The sequence below is a fragment of the Homo sapiens genome, chromosome 7 (assembly GCF_000001405.40).
Source record: "Homo sapiens chromosome 7, GRCh38.p14 Primary Assembly".
Classification (NCBI taxonomy): Eukaryota; Metazoa; Chordata; class Mammalia; order Primates; family Hominidae; genus Homo; species Homo sapiens.
The window spans coordinates 75,947,967-75,968,105 of NC_000007.14; the positions used below are offsets into that span (position 1 = coordinate 75,947,967).

Here is a 20,139-nt window from a genome sequence, read left to right on the forward strand (position 1 = left end):
TGCTTGGATCCTGGGATTCCTCCAAGCTTAACCTCCTTGAGAGGCCTTCCTTTCGCACCGCATGCCAGACACAGAGGTGCCTGAGATGCTGTTCTTCCCTCAAGGAGCTCACACCGAGTGAGAGAGAGACCCATGTCCTAAGTAGAGGGCGGTGAGCACAGCCCGGTGGGAAGCTGGGCCTGTTTCTCGTTTTGCCCGAGTGAGGTGCTTACCCCGTGTGGCCTCATCTGTAGCTCAGGGCCTTGGATAAAGTGATGGCTGGGTCCTTCCCACCGCACCTGTCTTCTCTCAGAAGTAGTTTGATATTTCAGAGTCAAAGCTGCTGGGAACATTCTTGTTCTGTGGAGCCTCCAGGCTGAGCGCTGGGAGTGCCCAGTGTGCTGGTCGGGGCTGGGGGGCACTCAGGGCCAAGCCCCACCCCTGTTGGCTGCAGGAAGTCAGTCACAGCCTCAAGGAGCAGCTCCTGTTCGTTTCCTTCGTTTTGCGTGTTAGTTTCCTTACAGGCGTGAGACTGTGTGGTCCTGACTGTGAACTCCGGGAAGAGGCTGAAAGAAGCTGTGAGTGCAGGTGTTAGAGACAGGCAGCATGAAGAGGAGGGAATAGAGTCAGCCTCACAGACTGTCCTGATGGAGTTGCAGTGTGGTTTTCAGATTATAAAGGCATTCCATAGTCTGTATGCCAAGCACTGCCAATCCAGGTACCCGAAAATCGGAAGGTTCTTGCCTTCTATTCACATGTTTATTTATTCAACAAATCGACATAAATGCTCATTATATGCCAGTCTGTGAACTAAGCCAAGTCCCTGCCCTTGTGGGGTGACCCTCTAGTCAGGGAGAGAGCCAGTGGTGGGGTAATGTATAATATAATGTGAGGTGGGGATAAGCTCAGTTGTGAGGGGTCAGAGGGTGGGGATTGTGGCCAGGGGGCAGTTGTAGATTCTGTTCTCAGGCAAAGTTTCTCTGAGATGGTGACATCTGAGCAGAAACTTAAATGAGGGAGTGAATTTTGCAAATAATGAGATGGCCATGTGCAAAGTCCCTGAAACAGAAGGAGGCCAGCGTGACCTGCAAGGTGTGAGGAAGGGGAGCGTAGTAAGAAATGTGGGTGGTGGGAGTGGGTTCTGAGGGCCGGATCGTATGGGCCTTATGAGCTGTGTAAGGACTTCAGGGCTTTGTTGTTGTTGTTGTTGTTGTTGTTGTTGTTTTTGAGACGGAGTCTCACTCTGTCACCCAGGCTGGAGTGCAGTGGCGTGATCTCAGCTCACTACAACCTCTGCCTCCCAGGTTCAAGCGATTCTCCTGCCTCAGCCTCCCCAAGTAGCTGGGACTACAGGCACGCGTCACCATGCCTGGCTAATTTCTGTATTTTTAGTAGAGATGGAGTTTCGCTGTGTTGGCCAGGCTGGTCTTGAACTCCTGACCTCGTGATCCACCCGCCTCGGCCTCCCAAAGTGATGGGATTACAGGCGTGAGCCACTGTGCCTGGCCACTTTAGGTTTTTGTACGAAGTATGATGTGAAGACATCTCAGGGTTTGTTGTTGTTGTTGTTGTTGTTTGAGATGGAGTCTCACTCTGTTCTCCAGCACTCCAGGCTGGAGTCTGGAGTGCAGTGGTGTGATCTCAGCTCACTGCAACCTCCGCTTCCTGGGTTCAAATGATTCTCCAGCCTCAGCCTCCTGAGTAGCTGGGATTACAGGCATGCGCCACTGCATCCGGCTGATTTTTGTATTTTTAGTAGAGACAGGGTTTCACCATGTTGGCCAGGCTGGTCTCAAACGCCTGACCTCAGGTGATCCACCTGCCTCGGCCTCCCAAAGTGCTGGGATTACAGGTGTGAGCCACCGTGCCCAGCCCATCTCAGGGTTTTGATCAGGGAGGGGACATGACCTGACTTACTTTTTTTTTTTTTTGAGATGGAATCTCGCTCTGTCGCCCAGGCTGGAGTGCAGTGGCACAATGTCAGCTCACTGCAAGCTCTGCCTTCCGGGTTCACACCATTCTCCCACCTCACCTCCCTCCTCCTGTTTCTGGGACTACAGGTGCCTGCCACCACGCCTGGCTAATTTCTTGTATTTTTTTTTTTTAAGTAGAGACGGGGTTTCACTGTGTTAGCCAGGATGGTCTCGATCTCCTGACCTCGTGATCCACCCGCCTTGGCCTCCCAAAGTGCTGGGATTACAGGCATGGGCCACCGTGCCCGGACGATCTGACTTACTTTTTAAAGCATCCCCCTGTCTGCTGTGTGGGGAATGGCCCGTCCATCAGAATTCTCTTGCGGTGATTACGTAGGTGCAGATGTACCGCTAACCTCACTCCCAGCGTCGTCGATTTATTAATAGAAACTGCCATGAGTTATGCAATCAGCTTGAGTCTGCGTTGAGAAGGACTTCACATCATGGGCATTAGATCTCTTCTGGAAAATGAGGGGACCGGTCACTTGGGGAGTTAGAAGGGAGGAGGGTGAGGGACAGGGAGCGCGAGTTTCTTGGCTGCTGCCTTGTGATGGATAACAGCTAGACAGCTAGGGGAGCTCCTGTGTCACCATGGCACTCCTGACTGGTTCCAGTGGGGCCCTGACTGTCTGCTGCCTCATGACTCTGTGGGACAAGTCCTTCCAGAATCTGTCAGAGCAGATCCTAAATGCCTCTCTGTCTGGTTCTATGAAAATGTGACAGGTGGCTCATAAGCTTGACAGAGATCCTGATATGACTAGCATTAAGTAAATATTAAATGTGTTTATAAGATTAAATATAAATAGTTTTCTCTGGGGACAACAGAATTCACTTTGTCCTTTAATGTCATATCAAAAAAGCTGGCCAGGTGCAGTGGCTCACGCCTGTCATCCCAGCACTTTGGGAGGCCGAGGCAGGATCACGAGGTCAGGAGTTTGAGACCAGCCTGACCAACATGGTGAAACTCCATCTCTACTAAAAATACAGAAAATTAGCCGGGTGTGGTGGCACATGCCTGTAATCCCAGCTGCTCAGGAGACTGAGGCAGGAGAATTGCTTGAATCCGGGAGGCAGAGGTTGCAGTGAGCCGAGATCGCACCACTGCACTCCAGCCTGGGTGACAGAGCGAGGCTCTGTCCCCCGGCCCCCCCCCCCCCCGAAAAAAAAAAAGTCATATCAAAAAAGCCAAGTTGAGGCCAGGCACAGTGGCTCACGCCTGTAATCCCAGCACTTTGGGAAGCCGAAGCAGGCAGATCACCTGAGGTCAGGAGTTCGAGACCAGCCTGGCTGACATGGTGAAACCCCGTCTCTACTAAAAATACAAAATTAGCCAGGTGTCGTGGCGGGCACCCGTAGTCCCAGGTACCCTGGAGGCTGAGGCAAGAGAATCGCTTGAACCCAGGAGGCGGAGGTTGCAGTGAGTCGAGATGGTGCCATTGCACTCTAGCCAGGGTGACAGAGAGAGACTCTATCTCAAAAAAATAAAATAAAAAAGAAAGAAAAAAGCTAAATTGAGATGAACTCAAGCCATTGGAAAAGCAGCTCAGATTAGTGAGAAAGCAAAGACCCAAGCTTGCGGGCCTGTTCTGAATGGCCTGTTCCCAGCAGGTTGTGTAGCAGTAGACCGATGCCCACAACCCTCGGATGCCCTGGCTTCCCAGACCAGCCCCATGGTTTCCTGGTGACAGTGACAGCCATCAGCAGTCAGCTAGAACATAGTCTCTCATTGCCTAATTGCTGACACATGACTAAGGCTTTCCTGATTGAGTCTGGGTGCTCTGGTTGTGGTGAAAAACCCAGTCGGTCATATCCATGATTGCAAAATGGAATAGTGTGAATTTCAGGGCTGAGCCCAGCCTCCTTGGTAAGCAGCAGAAGCTGCTGTTTCAGGGACTCTCACTTGGACCTTTGTTGACTCATGTCACGTCTGCCTACCAGGTGTCGTTGGTGGAAGGACCAGTTGAGCATCTTATGAGGGAACTAGGCTGGTGACATGGGGGTTCCCCCACCTCCCTCCCGGACGGGGCGGCTGGCCGGGCGGGGGGCTGACCCCCCCACCTCCCTCCCGGACGGGGCGGCTGGCGGGGCAGAGGGGCTCCTCACTGCCCAGTAGGGGCGGCCGGGCAGAGGTGCCCCTCACCTCCCGGATGGGGTGGCTGGCCGGGCGGGGGGCTGACCCCCCCACCTCCCTCCCGGACGGGGCAGCTGGCCGGGCGGGGGGCTGACCCCCCCACCTCCCTCCCGGACGGGGCAGCTGGCCGGGCGGGGGGCTGACCCCCCCACCTCCCTCCCGGACGGGGCGGCTGGCCGGGCGGGGGGCTGACCCCCCCACCTCCCTCCCGGACGGGGCGGCTGGCCGGGCGGGGGGCTGACCCCCCCACCTCCCTCCCGGATGGGGCGGCTGGCCGGGCAAAGGGGCTCCTCACTTCCCAGTAGGGGCGGCTGGGCAGAGGCGCCCCTCACCTCCCGGACGGGGCAGCTGGCCGGGCGGGGGGCTGACCCCCCCACCTCCCTCCCGGACGGAGCGGCTGGCCGGGCGGGGGCTGACCCCCACCTCCCTCCCGGACGGGGTGGCTGCTGGGCGGAGACGCTCCTCACTTCCCAGATGGGGTGGCTGCTGGACGGAGGGGCTCCTCACTTCTCAGACGGGGCGGTTGCCAGGCAGAGGGTCTCCTCACTTCTCAGACGGGGCGGCCGGGCAGAGACGCTCCTCACCTCCCAGATGGGGTCGCGGCCGGGCAGAGGCGCTCCTCACATCCCAGACGGGGCGGCGGGGCAGAGGCGCTCCCCACATCTCAGACGATGGGCGGCCAGGCAGAGACGCTCCTCACTTCCTAGATGGGATGGCGGTGGAGAAGAGGCGCTCCTCACTTCCTAGATGGGATGGCGGCCGGGCAGAGACGCTCCTCACTTTCCAGACTGGGCAGCCAGGCAGAGGGGCTCCTAACATCCCAGACGATGGGCAGCCAGGCAGAGACGCTCCTCACTTCCCAGACGGGGTGGCGGCCGGGCAGAGGCTGCAATCTCGGCTCTTTGGGAGGCCAAGGCAGGCGGCTGGGAGGTGGTTGTAGCGAGCCGAGATCAAGCCACTGCACTCCAGCCTGGGCACCATTGAGCACTGAGGGAACGAGACTCCGTCTGCAATCCCGGCACCTCGGGAGGCCGAGGCTGGAGGATCACTCGCGGTTAGGAGCTGGAGACCAGCCCGGCCAACACAGCGAAACCCCGTTTCCACCAAAAAAATACGAGAACCAGTCAGGCGTGGCGGCGCGCGCCTGCAATCGCAGGCACTCGGCAGGCTGAGGCAGGAGAATCAGGCAGGGAGGTTGCAGTGAGCCGAGATGGCAGCAGTACAGTCCAGCTTCGGCTGGGCATCAGAGGGAGACCGTGGAAAGAGGGAGGGGGAGGGGGAGGGGGAGGGACCAGACTTTGTCTCTTAAAAAAAAAAAAAAAAGACTCCCAGGCATAGGAAAGCAGGCATTCACCATAAATCTCATTGTTAACAGGAACTACCTTCATAGCCCAAGGTTTTAGGAATACAGAGACACTCTTGCCAGTCAGGATAGTCCAAGGCTCGTGAATATCAGGAGCCACTCAAGGGCCAGGCCTGGAGACTTGGAACATGCAGGGTTTAGGGCAACCCCCGCCAGCCACACAGCTGGGGAAAGGGTTTGCTGCGAAATGGTCCACTCTTGCGTGCACTTCCTCCCGCCTGCCCCCCGTGCGGTGTCCTTGTGGGATTAGAGGATGTTCCAGCACACTGAGAGTCAGTGGCTGTCATTTTCTCTGTCTTCCAGGGACCCAGTCCCAGCTGCTGCCTTAGCTTGCACCCCAGGACCACCCTGGGCTGGTGCTGACACCACTGGGGGCTGTCTGTTATGTCAGCCCCAGTCCAAGACTGTGGCTGTCTTGGCAGGAACCTGGCTGAGTGAGCCCCTTCTCCTACCCCGTGCAGTGACCATTTCCTGCAGCCCCAGGGGCAAGGCCCAGCATTTAGGTGGGCACCCCAGCCAGCCTCAGGGGCACCCTGCTACCCTCTGCTGACATCTGCTGTTTCTGTCTCCTAACAGTTTCATGATCAACATGGGAGACTCCCACGTGGACACCAGCTCCACCGTGTCCGAGGCGGTGGCCGAAGAAGTATCTCTTTTCAGCATGACGGACATGATTCTGTTTTCGCTCATCGTGGGTCTCCTAACCTACTGGTTCCTCTTCAGAAAGAAAAAAGAAGAAGTCCCCGAGTTCACCAAAATTCAGACATTGTAAGTGCCGCCTCTCAGCCTCCTCTCTCTGTCCCTCTTCTGTCACCACTCCAAGCAGTGTCCTGCATGCGGGCCTCAGGCTGAAAGAAGCAAGGCTCCTTGTAGCATTTTGGGGTGACTCTTGGGTTTTGCCTTCTTGCTAGATTGTGCTTGAGCTCTCCCTTAATCATCTCTTATGTGGGGTTTATAAGGCCCTTTTCTATCTGCTGTTTATATGACCTTCACAGGAAGCACTGCGAAAATGACACCAGTTTACAGATTAAGAACCGGGGGCTCAAGAATGTTAACGGGCCTGCCAGGGTCATTAGCCAGCAATAGCAGCGCTAGAGCTGGAACCCTTTTTTCCATTTATTTATTTATTTATTTATTTGGAGACATGGTCTCACTGTATTGCCCAGGCTGGAGTGCAATGGCGGTGGCACGATCAAGGTTCACTGTAATCTCCACCTCCCAGGCTCAGGCAGTCTTCCCACCTCAGCCTCCCGAGTAGCTGGGACTAAAGGTGTGCACCACTATGCCCAGCTAATTTTTTTTTTTTTTTTTTTGAAGCAGAATCTTGTTCTTTCAACCAGTCTGGAGTACAGCGGTGCGATCTCGGCTCACTGCAACCTCTGCCTCCCAGGCTCAAGCAATTCTTCTGCCTCAGCCTCCTGAGTAGCTTGGATTACAGGTGCCCGCCACCACGCCTGGCTATTTTTTGTATTTTTAGTAGAGACAGGGTCTCACCATGTTGGCCAGGCTGGTCTCAAACTCCTGACCTCAAGTGATCCGCCCACCTCGGCCTCCCAAAGTGCTGGGATTACAGGTGTGAGCCGTTGCGCCCAGTCAATTTTTGTATTTTTTTATAGAGACAGGGATTTGCCATGTCCCGGGCTGGTCTCGAACACCTGGACTCAAGCAATCCGCACACCTTGGTCTCCCAGAGTGTCGGGATTACAGGCGTGAGCCACTGTACCCAGCCTAGAATTGGCATTTTAAAGTCTTTTTAAGGCTGTAGCCACCTGGAAGGCTATGTGCTAATGAGCACAAAATCTTTGGACAGGCCTTATTTTGTTGCTCTTTTAAACTTTTCATGAAGCTTCCTTTTAAGAATAAGTGAAAAAGATGGATTAGTTAAAAGAAAAACGTTAAGGAAATAATAGTATAGATGGTATGTAGACAGAAAAAAATGATACCGAAGGTCTGCCTAAGTGACTGCATCCCTGTCTCTCCAAGATTGATTTCCATAAGCCACACGGAAAAGTCATTCTCCAGATTTTAGGGTCCTGCGGCCAGAATTACTTCCTGCGGTTACGCTTGGCTGTGTTTAACACCAGTCTCAGACTCCAGGGGCCCGCAGCCAGGTTTGAGTGGGGACCTGCCAGGTCAGGTCTGAGCCGAGGGAACTCCAGGGGCACGGGCCTGCTGCCTTCAGGGACTCCCTGGATTTGGCAAGGGGCAGGTCTCAGGGGCAGGATTGGGAGCCATTCTCAGACCAGAACCCCTTTCATTCTGTCTGTCTTCAGGGGACCCAGTCCCAGCTGCAGCCTTAGCTTGCACCCCAGGGCCACCCTGGGCTGGTGCTGACACCAGTGGGGGCCATCTGTCATGTCAGTTCCAGTCCAAGGCTGTGGCTGTCTTGGCAGGAACAAGCCACACAGAAAAGTCATTCTCCAAGGCTGGGCATGGTGAAGCATGCCGCTCACATCAAATCCCGATTCCCTATTCCAATCTGGGTATCAGCCTTCCCCGCCAGAACACTTACAGCCTTCACACCGTAAAGCAGATATTCACACAACACAGTTCTTATACCATGGACAGGGAATTAGTTTTACATTTTTAAAAACTGGGTTCAGGGCCAGGCACAGCGGCTCACGTCTGTAATTCCACCACTTTGGGAGGCCGAGGCGGGAGAAATCACTTGAGGTCAGGAGTTCGAGACCAGCCTGGCCAACATGGCGAAACCCCGTCTCTACCGAAAATACAAAAACTAGCTGGGCGTGGTGGTGCATGCCTGTAATTTCAGCTACTAGGGAAGCTGAGGCAGAAGAATCGCTTGAACCCAGGAGGCAGAGGTTGCAGTGAGCCAAGAATGCGCCACTGCATTCCAGCCTGGGAGACAGAGTCCGTCTCAAAAACAAAACAAAACAAAACAAAACTGGGTTCAATCTTATCTCCATCATTGACTCACTGAGCAAACATTTCCTGAGGCCCTACCTACAGTGTCCCAGACACTATGCTAAGGTGTGTGGCTGCAGCAGTGAAGAAAATAGATGAATGCTGTCTTCATCAAGCTTACGCTCTAGTGGTGAGTGAACCCTGGGCGAGACCTTAACCTCATTCTGCCTCAGTTTCCTCACCTGCTAAATGGAGGCAGTATTCCCAATCTTGTGGGGCTTTTGTCTTAAATGAGGAAGAGTCTATAAACTCACCTAGCACTGCCCCTGAGGGATAGGAGCTGTGTAGTGTTTGCGTTGATCGTATTTCGTGCCAGGCACTATGACGGGCACGATCAGGACCACAGAGCCAGCATTTATGTTAAGCTGGAAAATGAGGGTGTTGCAACATAGTTTTTTTTTTTTTGAGACAGACTTTTGCTCTTGTCACTCAGGCTGGAGTGCAGTGGTGCAATCTCGGCTCACTGCAACCTCCGCCTCCCGGGTTCAGGCGATTCTCGTGCCTCAGTCTCCCGAGTGCCTGGGACTACAGGCACATGCTACCACGCCTGGCTAATTTTTGTATTTTTAGTAGAGACGGGGTTTCACCATGTTGGCCAGGCTGGTCTCAAACTCCCGACCTCAGGTGAGCTGCCTGCCTCTGCCTCCCATAGTGCTGGGATTATAGGCGTGAGCCACCACACCCGGCCACAGCGTACTTTTTAGAAATGCTTTGTGAACTGCTTTAACCTACATTGTCTAATCAGGGCCTCCTTGCAACAGCGCCGTGCGTTAGGTAGCGTGGGTTGCCTCATTTCTGCTCTCAGAGAGGTTATGGGATGTGCCCAGGGCACAGGCTGGAGAGACAGGCTCCGCCAGCTCTAAGAGAGAAGGAATTGGTGTGGGGATCAGACCAAGTCCTGCAGGAGGGGTGTTGGGCAGGTTCTTAAAGGTAGAGCCACACCCTGAAGCTGAAAGGACTTTAGAGCAGAGGGCCCGATATAGGAAGGGCAGATCAGCTGGAATCCAGCCCATCCTGTCCAGGGCTGGTACACGGGGCATTGCTGGTGTGGAATAGTACTTTTGATAAAAAAGCGTAGTAGTACTCAAGATAAAGAGACCAGGGTCCAGGACCCAGCTCCTGAACTGGCCCTTGTTCCCTCATCTGTAAAATGGAAGTTCCGCCCCACCGCCGTGAGTGAGGACGTGGGTTGGCCCTGGGAGCCTGCGGAGCTTGCCACCAAGGGAGGCAGCATTCCTCTCATAGCTCATCTGTTCTCGCTGTCACCTCCCTGGCCTTACAAGAGGAAGTTGACATAAAACCTGTAGACTGTGGGAGCTGTAGGGTCCCAAAGCACTTGTATTTTTTTGTTGATTCTCACTGTTCCTCTTTGCCAGGATGCTGAAATTCTGTTCCCTCCACCTAATCATGATCTTCTAACCTTATGTGTGTGGAGATATGCAGTTTCCAGAGTCTTGTCTCTTCCCTCATTAAATCACACTGGATGCCTGCTGCAGCCAGGGCTTTTACCTGTACGCTGTACAAGACAAATATTTCTAGTACCATGGCTACATTCTGGACCCTGAAGTTGGGTGCTCAAGGTTGAGTACTGACTCTCCCACATTAGCCATCTGACATCAGCCAGGTGACTTGATCTTTCCAAGTCTGTGTCCCCAACTGTAAGCTGGAGGTAGTAGTAGTACTTACCTCATAAGGCTGTGAAAACTGAGTTAATCCATCATAGAGCTCTTTGCTCAGTTCCTGGTGCATAGTAGGCTCTCAGGTGTTATGGATTGTTACTATTTATTTATTTATTTTGAGGCAGGGTCTCACTCTGTCGTTCAGGCTGGAATACGCTGGCACGATCTCGGCTCACTGCAACCTCCGCCTCCCAGGCTCAAGAGATCCTCCCACTTTGGCCTCCCAAGTAGCTGGGACTACAGGCGTGCACCACCACCCTTGGCTAATTTTTATATTTTTTGTACAAATGGACATCTAACAATGTTGCCCAGGCTGGTCTGAAACTCCTGGGCTCAAGCAGTCTGCCTGCCTCGGCCTCCCAAAGTGCTGGGATTACAGGCGTGAGCCACCATGCCTGGAGTGTGTTATTATTTTTATCCTTTTTATTAATACCATCTCCAGTCTTACAAGAGCCCTTCCACGAAGACATGAGCAGCCCATTTTGCGGATGAAGAAACCGAGGTGCCAGGGATTGCAGAGTTTGCCCAAGGCCACCTAACTTCTAAATAGCAGCAGAGTTGGCTTTTGAATGAAGTCTGCAAGCTCCACAAGCCATGTTTTCTCTACTTTGCCATGCTGCTCCTAATTTAGTGTTAATAGGCCTCCTACGATAGTGTTAGTCTCCTAAGATAGTGTTAATAGGCCTGGCATGGTGGCTCACGCCTGTAATCCCAGTGCTTAGGGAGGCTGAGGCACAAAGATTGCTTGAGCCAGGAGTTCAAGACCAGCCTGAGCAACATAGGGAGACCCCCACCCCCCCGCCATCTCTACAATAAACAAAAAAGAGTGGTGTTAATTTGTTAATTTACCGACAAGGAGAGTATTCCTTATCTGAAGTGCTTGCCAGAAGTGTTTCAGATCTTGGACTTTGGAATGTTTGCATTATACTCACCAGATGAGCATTTCTTATCTGAAAATCTGAAATGCTCCAATGATTCTTCCCTTTGAGGATCATGTTGACGCTCAAAAAGTTTCAGATTTCAGATTTTAGATTAGGGACATTCAGCCTGTAGATGTTATTTTACAGAGCAGGAAGTTGGGTGTAGTGGTTCACACTTGTGATCCCAGCTCTTTGGGAGGCCAAGGCAGGAGGATTGCTTAAGCCCAGGAGTTGGAGACCAGCCTGGGCAACGTAGCAAGGCCCTGTCTCTATAAAAAATAGGAGAAAACTGAGGCTCAGAAAGGTCACCTAGCTGATACAACCAGGCCTCAAGCCTAGATCTCCTATTCTAAATCCCACATCAGTGTCCCTGGCTACCGGTATTTCAGTGAGCACAGGTGATTTCTGTTATAGCCACAGAGCAGTAGGGAGTAATAGGGCTTAGTGTGAGGAAGGTATGTGGCCCAGGGCTATATCAGGAACTCTCACCATGATTTCTGGTGGCTTCTAGAATTGGCATTTATTTATTTTGTTTTAGAGACACGGTCTCGCCCTGTCACCCAGGCTGGAGTGCTATGGCGCGATATCAGTTCACTGCAACCTCTGCCTCTGGGGCTCAAGCGATTCTCTTGCTTCAGCCTCCCAAGTTGCTGGGATTACAGGCACCCACCATGATGCCCGGCTAATTTTTGTATTTTTAGTAGAGATGGAGTTTCACCACGTTGGCCAGGCTGGTCTTAAACTCCTGACCCCAAGTGATCCATCCGCCTGGGCGTCCCAAAATACTGGGATTACAGGTGTGAGCCACTGTACGGGGCCAAACACATTTTTAAAACAAAAAACCCAGTGGGATTTTTGTTGGAATTGGATTGAATCTGTATATTAATATGGGAAGAGTTGACATCCTACAATATTGAGCTTTCTATTCCATGAACATTGTTTTATCCCTCCCGGGGAGGTCTTTTGGACTGTTTGTAATAGCAATTAATGACTTGTTAGAGAGGAGTGGTAATGAGCAACAAGTTCTTTTTCATAATAATAGTAGCAGTAATGATAATAAATGGCTCTTCCTGCCAGGTGTGGTGGCTCACGCCTGGAATCCCACACTTCAGGAGGCCGAGGCAGGTGGATTGCTTTGAGCCCAGGAGTTCAAGATCAGCCTGGCAACATGACGAAACCCTGTCTCTACGGAAAAAATACAAAAATTAGCCAGGCACGGTAGCATACGCTTGTAGTCCCAGCTACTCAGGAGGCTGAGGTGAGAGGATCACCTGAGCCTGGGATGCCAAGGCTGCCGAGCGCCGAGCTCACACCGCTGCACTCCAGCCTGGGCGACAGAGCAAGACCCCCTCTCAAAATAATAATAATAATAATAATAATAATATATAATAATGACTCTTTCACGTCCACTCCCACTCACTCAGGTTGCACCTCTGAACAGAGCATTTCGCACTGGGGCAGCTCATGCCCTAAGGGAGCCCCAGGGAATGCTCAGCCTCTTGAGTAGCTGGGGTGACGGGCACATGCCACCATGCCTGGCTTATTTATTTTTTTTTAAAGACATGGTCTCGCTCTGTTGCCCAGGCTGGGTCTTAACCTCCTGGCCTCAAGCAGTCTCCCTGCCTCAGCCTTGCAAAGTTCTGAGATCACTCACTGTGTAGGATCCAAAGTCCCACAGGATCCAGGGCTCCTGTGGGCTCTCTCTCCTGTGGGCCTGGCAGCTTTGCTCACCCTTATGGAACAACACCGCATGGCGTGCCCTCTTGGTGATGGAATTTGTATTTTTGCCTCCCATGGTGCAGAGAGCGTCCCATTTCCATCTGGGTCCCTACCTTAGTGCGGGGCCGCCTGTCGGAGGGAAGCTTCTCAGAGAATGGCCGTTGAATTAACCAAGGCTAAATCTGTATGTGTGGCTGCCTCTAGGGAAACCTGTGGCCTCCAGGCTGGGTTTGGCTTACACAGTATTTTTTTAAAAAATATTTTAATTAGAACATTAAAAAGTGTGGCAGTATCAGGCCCAGCGTGGTGGCTGACACCTGTAATCCCAGCACTCTGGGAGGCCAAAGCAGGTGGATCACATGAGGCCAGGAGTTCAAGACCAGCCTGGCCAACATGGCAAAACCCTGTCTCTACAAAAAGTACAAAAATTAGCTGGGCATGGTGGTGCGTGCCTGTAATCCCAGCTACTCGGGAGGCTGAGGCAGGAGAATTGCTTGAATCCAGGAGGTGGAAGTTGCAGTGAGCTGAGATCACGCTACTGCATTCCAGCCTGGGCGATGAAGTGAGACCAAAAAAAAAAAGGCAGTATCAAATAAAAACTTAGACTTACAGCTTCTTTAAAAAAAAAAAAAAAAATAGAGGATCTGGTCATACTGGACCCACAGTGATGCCCACCAGCTGTGGAGCAGCTGAGCAGCGGCCCCATTCTGCACGAGGCCTGTGCGCTGCATTCACTCTGACCCTCCAGCCCGCTCAGGCTGCTGTGCTCATGTTGCCTCTACTGGCCCTGAGAAGCTCTGCAGTGCCCCCTGCACCTGTGCTTTGCTCCTGGAATGCTAGAGTGCTTTAAAGAAAAATAAAGCTTCTTATGGAACATTTCAAACACCAGAGTGTAGGGCACAGGAGAGTGGACCCCATACGCCTCCAGCCCCCAGTTTTCATAACTACTCACTCCTCGCCGGTCTTATTTCTTTCCGCTGCCCCCCACCGCCGCACCAGTCCTGGATTATTTTAATGCAATCCCCAGATGTCATATTTCATCAGGAAATGTTTCAGTCCTCTAAAATTCAAGGACTCGCCAGGCATGGCGGCTCATGCCTGTAATCCCAGCACTTCGGGAGGCTGAGGCAGGAGAATCACTTGAAGCCAAGTGTTCGAGATCAGCCTGGGTAGCATAGCAAGACCCCGTCTCTACAAAAAACACAAACATTAGTCAAGTGTGGTGGCACATGCCTGTGGTCCCAGTTACTCAGAAGGCTGAGGTGGGAGGATCACTTGAGCCCAGGAGGTTGAGGCTGCAGTGAGCCATGGTTGTGCCACTGCACTCCAACCTGGGTGACAGAACGAGACCCTGTCTCAAAAAAAAAAAAAAGTAAACTTCAAGTATTCTCCTTTCTGAACATAACACAACGCCATCTTCACACCTTGGAAGTCAACAGTAATTCTTCAGCATCGTTAGATACCCAGACAACATTTATTCATAGTTCCCTGATTGACTGATGTTTGATTTTGTTTAACAGTTTTTGTTTGTTTAATTCAGGATCTAAACAAGACCCATACACTGCAGTTGATTAATAAATCTTTCGTTTGGGAGAGGTCAGGTATATTCAGGTATAATTTGCATACAGTAAAATGCCCCCCTCCTCCCTTTTTTTTGAGACAGGGTCTTGCTCTGTCACCCAGGCTGGAGTGCAGGGGTGTGATCAGGGCTCACTACAGCCTCTACCTCCCAGGCTTAAGGGGATCGTCCCATCTCAGCCCCCTGAGTAGCTGGGGCTACGGGCATGTGCCACCATACTCGGCTAATTTTTATTTTTAATTTTAGTAGAGACAAAGTCTCACTATGTTGCCCAGGCTGGTCTTGTTCGAACGTCTGAGTTCAAGTGATCCTCTTGCCTCAGCCTCCCAAAGTGCTAGGATTAGGATTACAGGCATGAGCCACTGCACTGGGCCAACATTTTCCTCTTTAAGTGCACCAGTTCATGAGTCTTGACAGATGTATGTGATTCTGTAATCAGTATCATAATCGAAATCTAGAACATTTCATCACTCCGAAACAGTCCTGTCCTACCTCTTTGCAATCATCCTCCTCCATCGGGTAATCAGCCTCTGGCAACTGCCAATCTTATTTCTGTCCCTGTAGTTTAACATTTTCCAAAGCGTCACATAAATGGAATGATAGCACCGTGGGCTGCTGTGCCAGCGGTTTTTCCTTAGCGACACGTCAGCTCCCTTTCCATTCCTAAGCTTCCCTTCCATCCCGTTTCTTCCTTGAAACATCATTTGTATCACAGTTTCCCACAGTCTGGATTTTCCTGATTACGTCCCCCTGGAGATTGCTTTTGAAAAGCCACAAAAGATCTCATTTTCCTGAGTGACCTTCCTTTTGGGGCCTGTTCTTGACAGAAAGCCCGGGAGGCCAGGGGTCAGGGCTGCCAGCATCACGTGTCTGTTTTTTATCTCCTGAGTGCCAACAGATGGGAAGTGGATCTGGGGGTCTTGCCACATCCAGTTCAGGGTCACTTTCTCTGTAGTGAGGTCCTTGGCTCCATCGAGCATGAAAAGAGAAATACAAATGAGACTGACAAAGAGGAAAGCATTAGGGGAAGCCTGTGGCCACGAGAGTAGACGGTGCAGGGGGCCCACTGCCTCCCGCTGCTGTGGGAACGGCGAGGACATGGGCCAGGGTGTTTCTGCCACTTCTGCAAGCACAGCTCTGGGTTTTCTGCTGCCATCTGACCTCCAAAGGGACCTCGCCTCCTCTCCTTCCTTTCCTGGTCCCTGATGAGATGGGGGAGGTTTCTGTCACTCTGACAAGTGCTTGAAACTCCAGACATGGGCTGTCGGGAACTGTCGGGTACTGCCGTGCAGAGCGCATGTTGTCTGACCTCCTGACTTCACTGGGCCCTGTCGGGTGCAGGAGAGGGAGCTGTGGATGGCACAGTGGGACATGTGCTCTACTGGCCTGGGGGTGGTGGGAATGCAGAGGAGGGGTATCCCCCATTGGGGGTGTGTCAGGGATGAGATGCCCCCACAGGAGCCTAGGAGGCCAAGTGTGGAGGCTGGGAGGTGAGGACACGCGGGGCTGTTCCAAGGGAGCCACATGCTGGTAGAGCCCAGGCACAGGTCACCAAGGGAGTCAGGGGTCGTGGGGGGTCAGAGGTCATAAAAGGAGTTGGGGTCACCAAGGAAGTCAGGTCATGGAGGGAGCTGACACAGGAGAGCATCTTAGAGGGCCTTGGGACCTTCCAAGGGGTATGGATTTTTTTCCCCAGCTTTATTGAGGTATAAATGACAAAAATTATATATATTTATCAGAGCATCTAAGTTTTTTTCTTTTTCTTTCTTTCTTTTTTTTTTTTGAGATGGAGTCTTACTCTGTGGCCCAGGCTGGAGTTCAGTGGCACAATCTTGGCTCACTGCAACCTCTGCCTCCTGGGTCCAAGTGATTCTCCTGCCTCAGCTTCCTGAGTAGCTGGGACTACAGGTGCCTGCCACCACGCCCAGCTAATTTTTGTATTTTGAGTAGAGATGGGGTTTCACCATGTTGACCGGGCTGGTCTTGAACTCCTGACCTCAAGTGATCCACCCACCTCAGCCTCCCAAAGTGTTGGGATTACAGGCGTGAGCCACCATGCCCAGCCTAAGCATTTTTCTTTTTTTCTTTTTGAGACTAAGTCTCGCTCCTGTCCCCCAGGCTGAAGTGCAATGGCGCAATCTCGGCTCACTGCCACCTCCGCCTCCCGGCTTCAGGCGATTCTCCTGCTTCAGCCTCCCGAGTAGCTGGGATTACAGGCGCCTGCCACCACACCCGGCTAATTTTTGTATTTTTAGTAGAGACGGGGTTTCACCATATTGGCCAGGCTGATCTCGAACTGCTGACCTCAGGTGATCCGCCTGCCTCAGCCTTCCAAAGTGTTGGGATTACAGGTGTGAGCCACCGCACCAGGCCAGCATTTTTCTTTCTTTGTAAATTTTATTTTTCCCAGCTTTAAAATGACATAATTGACAAATAAAAATTTTATACATATATTTAAAATTATGTAAGTTCAAAGTATACAGTGTGATGTTCTGATATACGTATCTTAGCTGAGCATGGTGGCTTACACCTGTAATACCAGCTACTTGGGAGGCTGAGGCGAGAGGATCACTTGAAGCCAGGAGGTCAAGGCCAGCTTGGGCAACATAGCAAGACATCGACTCTACAAAAACTTAAAAATAAATTCAAAAATTAGCTGGGCATGGTGGTGTGGACCTGTCATCGCAGCACTTTGGGAGGCTGAGGCAGGAGTTGGAGGCTGCAGTGAGCTGTGGTCACGCCACTGCACTCCAGCCTGGGCAACGGAGCGAACCCCGTCTCTAGAAAAACTAAAAAATCAATTTAAAAAAATGACATATGTGGATGACGCTAACAGGGAGCTGGGGAAGCCTGTGTAGGATGGCGGTGTCTGGAGAGCGGTGGCCCCATGAAGCGCCATTTGGAGCTGGAGTGGAGGGAGCTGACTTGGAAGCAGGAAGATGGGCCAGGAGGCTGCTGGCCTCAGCCTAGCAGAAATTGACCAGGGCCGCTCGGCACAGATGGAGAGCCGAGTGCAAATGCAGGTGTCAGTGGATCAGAGAAAGGGCTCCAAGCCAGTGCTTTTGAAAACATAATTCTGGGACCCTCATCACCCACCAGAGGTGATGTTCTTATCTCCATTTTACAAATGGCAGTGCTGATCCCAGGAGAGGGTGAGTGACCTGGTCAAGGCTGACGTTAGCACATGAGAGCTGGGATTCCAGCCTGGGGCTTCCTGCACCACGCTTTTGCTCCCTCGGACCCCTAGCTCTTGTCATGGCCACCCCAGCCCACCCCTCCTTTCCATCCCCTTTGATTGCACACAATAGCAGAGCCACTTTGTGCCAGATCAGATGATCTTACTGTCTGAGGGTATGGCCTTTTCTTTCTGTCACCGATGGGCTGAATAACCCTGAGTTTCTCTTCTCTGTCTCCGGAAAATTAGCCCTAGTCCTGGCCACCCCCTGGCTCAGGGTCACTGCTGAGGTCGTCAGAAGAGCATCAAGGCTTTTGCGTGTGTGGAACAGCACAGCAGGCTTTCTGAGCTTCACAGACTTGCTCACGGAGTCCTGATGTGAACACGTGCTGGAGGACATGGTCGGGGGGAATGAGGGAGCGGCAGCCCACCAGAGCCTTAGAGCATCCTGAGGACACGGCCCCAGGATCCTTGGGAAGGGCTGTGAGATGTGCTGCCTGAACGTGCCCGGGGCGCACTGCAGACAGGGTAAAGCCGGGGGAGGTGCACCTTGCTTGGGGAGCAGACAGGAACCCCGGGTGCTGGGCCACTGGGCCCTGGAGCTTTCACAGGCCTGGAGTTGAATTACCGCTTCACCCACCCTGAGCCTCACTGCCTTGTCAAGGTGGATAGAAACCCTTGCGCACTGCACAGGGTGGTGAGGATTAAACAAAATAAAATAGAAAGCTTCTTGAATGCTAGCCAGCATGCAGTAGGCACTCAGTAAGAAGTCATTCCCTTCGCCTGTTTTGTCTCTGACCTGTGGCCACTCACACCTGCTTTCACCTCCCCCTGCCTGTAGCCAGCTGTCTCCAGCAGCTGCCCTCCCCACGTGTTCATCAGAGTCCCTGTCCGCAGAGACAGCTGCTGGCTTCTGTCTGAGCTCCAGCAAACCACTTTCTGTTTTCACCAAAGACTGGCGTTTCCAACCATTAGCCCCATGCCACAAGGCTCTGAAGGTCAAGAAATCTGGGTCCGCCTAGCAGAGCCCACTCTCCGTCCTGCCAGAGCAGGCTGCCCCCAGCTCTGCTGCCATCGTGCCTCTGTGCCTCAGCCGCCACCCCTTCTCTCGCCGTGGGCACCCATGACCCTGGAGCCTGGAGAACTTGGCAGTAGACGCTAGGTTCTGAAAGGGAGCTGGTCCAAAGCAGCTTCCCCATGTGTTGCTAAGGGCAGGGGACAGTCTCAGGAGAAATCGAGTCCGCTGCAGAAAATCCAACCGGATTTGCAGTTTCCAGAAATGTTCCTCAGCGTCGCCTGTGACGGGAACAAAATGAACCGCACATCTCGGTTCATCTCGGTCCAAGTGACTCAGTGCTTTTCCCGCCCTCCCTCATCTTCCCCACGCAGTGGACTACAGCTGACTTCTGATCCTGAACCCAGAAAGACTCCTGCTCCCAATTTAGGCGTGGAGAGCCTTAATTGGAACCTTTCATGCTCCGTTCTGGAGCCACGTGGTCTGTGTGCTCCAGGCCTGGGACAGCTGCCACCTCTGTACGGCTGGAGCCTTGGGCTTTCTGGTTTTGTTTGTTTTTTCTTGAGACAGGGTCTCACTCTGTCAACCAGGTTGGAGTGCAGTGGCACAATCTTGGCTCACTGCAACCTTCACCTCAGCCTTCAGGCTCAAGTGATCCTCCTACCTCAGCCTCCCAAGTAGCTGGGATCACAGACGCACACCTCTACACCCGGCTAATTTTTGTATTTTTGGTAGAGACAGGCTGTTTCGCCATGTTGCCCAGGCTGGCCTCAAACTCCTGAGCTATGGCGTCCACCCACCTCGGCCTCCCAAAGTGCTGTACTGGTGTGAGCCACTGCACTCCGCCGAGCCTTGGGCTTTCGGATGGGCTGTTTGCACTCGGGAACCTCAGAAGGGTGCTCCCCAAGACAGAACATCACCACTGCAAACGGAGCCCACCTTGCCAGGCATTTCCCCAACTGCCCTGATGGGAGGGGAAGGTGTGTCTTTCATGGCACACAGGATGCTTCCCGCTGACATGGACCCAGTGTCTTAAGCTCTGTTTGCCCGCAATTCTTTTGTGTGGGGGAAGACAGGGACCAGACTTAATTTAATGTGATTGTGTGGCGCCCTGGCAGTGGGATCAGTGTGGCTTCCTTTATGGAGTGCAGCCCTGCCATAGCAACCTGCAGGCTGTCTTCTAGAGCCTAGAAGAGCTTTGTTCCGCAGACATGACTTCCTTTTTTTTTTTAATGGGAAACGGGGAGGGCGTGGGGAGAAGGGCTCTGATATAAACAGTTACCAAGGAGACCCGAGTCGGGGTTGGAAAGGTTTTCTCCTTCCCTCGGTCCATACAGAGGGAGGAGGGGTGTGTGCCCGGTGCAGGGACTCATGGGAGGCTTCACTCTGGAATCCTGAGTCCTGCCTGCTGGGGCTCCAGATGTTGCAGAGTTCTTGGGCTCATGGGGGCAGACGCAGGCAGGAGCTCAGGGAAATTCCGAGAGGACTTTGGGGTGTCCAGGAGCACTTTGAGGCCACGGGCCCAGGCAACTTCCTCACCAGTACGGAACAGGGGATGCACAGGGCCGAACTTTCCATCTGCTGGCCCCTGCTGGTGTCCAGGAGAGAGCTGTGACCCTCCTTTTTCCTTAAGTCCTGGAGCTGAGAGTGAGAAGCCATGGGGTGCACGTACTCGTCTCCA

The 20,139-nt window shown here is 52.7% G+C and overlaps 1 protein-coding gene across 7 annotated transcripts in view, besides 2 other annotated features; it reads left to right on the forward strand.

Moving 5' to 3' along the window:
• POR (cytochrome p450 oxidoreductase) overlaps window positions 1-20,139 on the forward strand; it is a 71,701-nt gene that overhangs the window by 32,812 nt on the left and 18,750 nt on the right. For 6 of the 7 annotated variants that reach the window (NM_001382662.3, NM_001382659.3, NM_001367562.3 and 3 more), the window contains one exon: window positions 6,023-6,214. In NM_001382662.3, the coding sequence (NP_001369591.2) occupies window positions 6,036-6,214 (179 nt within the window). In that variant the 5' untranslated portion in view covers window positions 6,023-6,035. Of the gene's footprint in view, window positions 1-6,022; window positions 6,215-8,941; window positions 8,996-20,139 lie in introns of all 7 variants that reach the window. The other variant, NM_001382655.3, reaches the window with a different exon arrangement.
• Window positions 10,865-11,159: a silencer, noted in NCBI's record as "tiled region #2709; K562 Repressive non-DNase unmatched - State 16:ElonW". NCBI's record gives its function as "represses a minimal TATA promoter and a strong SV40 promoter by Sharpr-MPRA in K562 cells {active_cell/tissue: K562}" and the evidence as "EXISTENCE:reporter gene assay evidence [ECO:0000049][PMID:27701403]".
• Window positions 18,753-19,632: an enhancer, noted in NCBI's record as "H3K27ac hESC enhancer chr7:75596037-75596916 (GRCh37/hg19 assembly coordinates)". NCBI's record gives its function as "activates a minimal SCP1, AML or CMV promoter by ChIP-STARR-seq in primed H9 embryonic stem cells {active_cell/tissue: H9 hESC(primed)}" and the evidence as "EXISTENCE:reporter gene assay evidence [ECO:0000049][PMID:30033119]".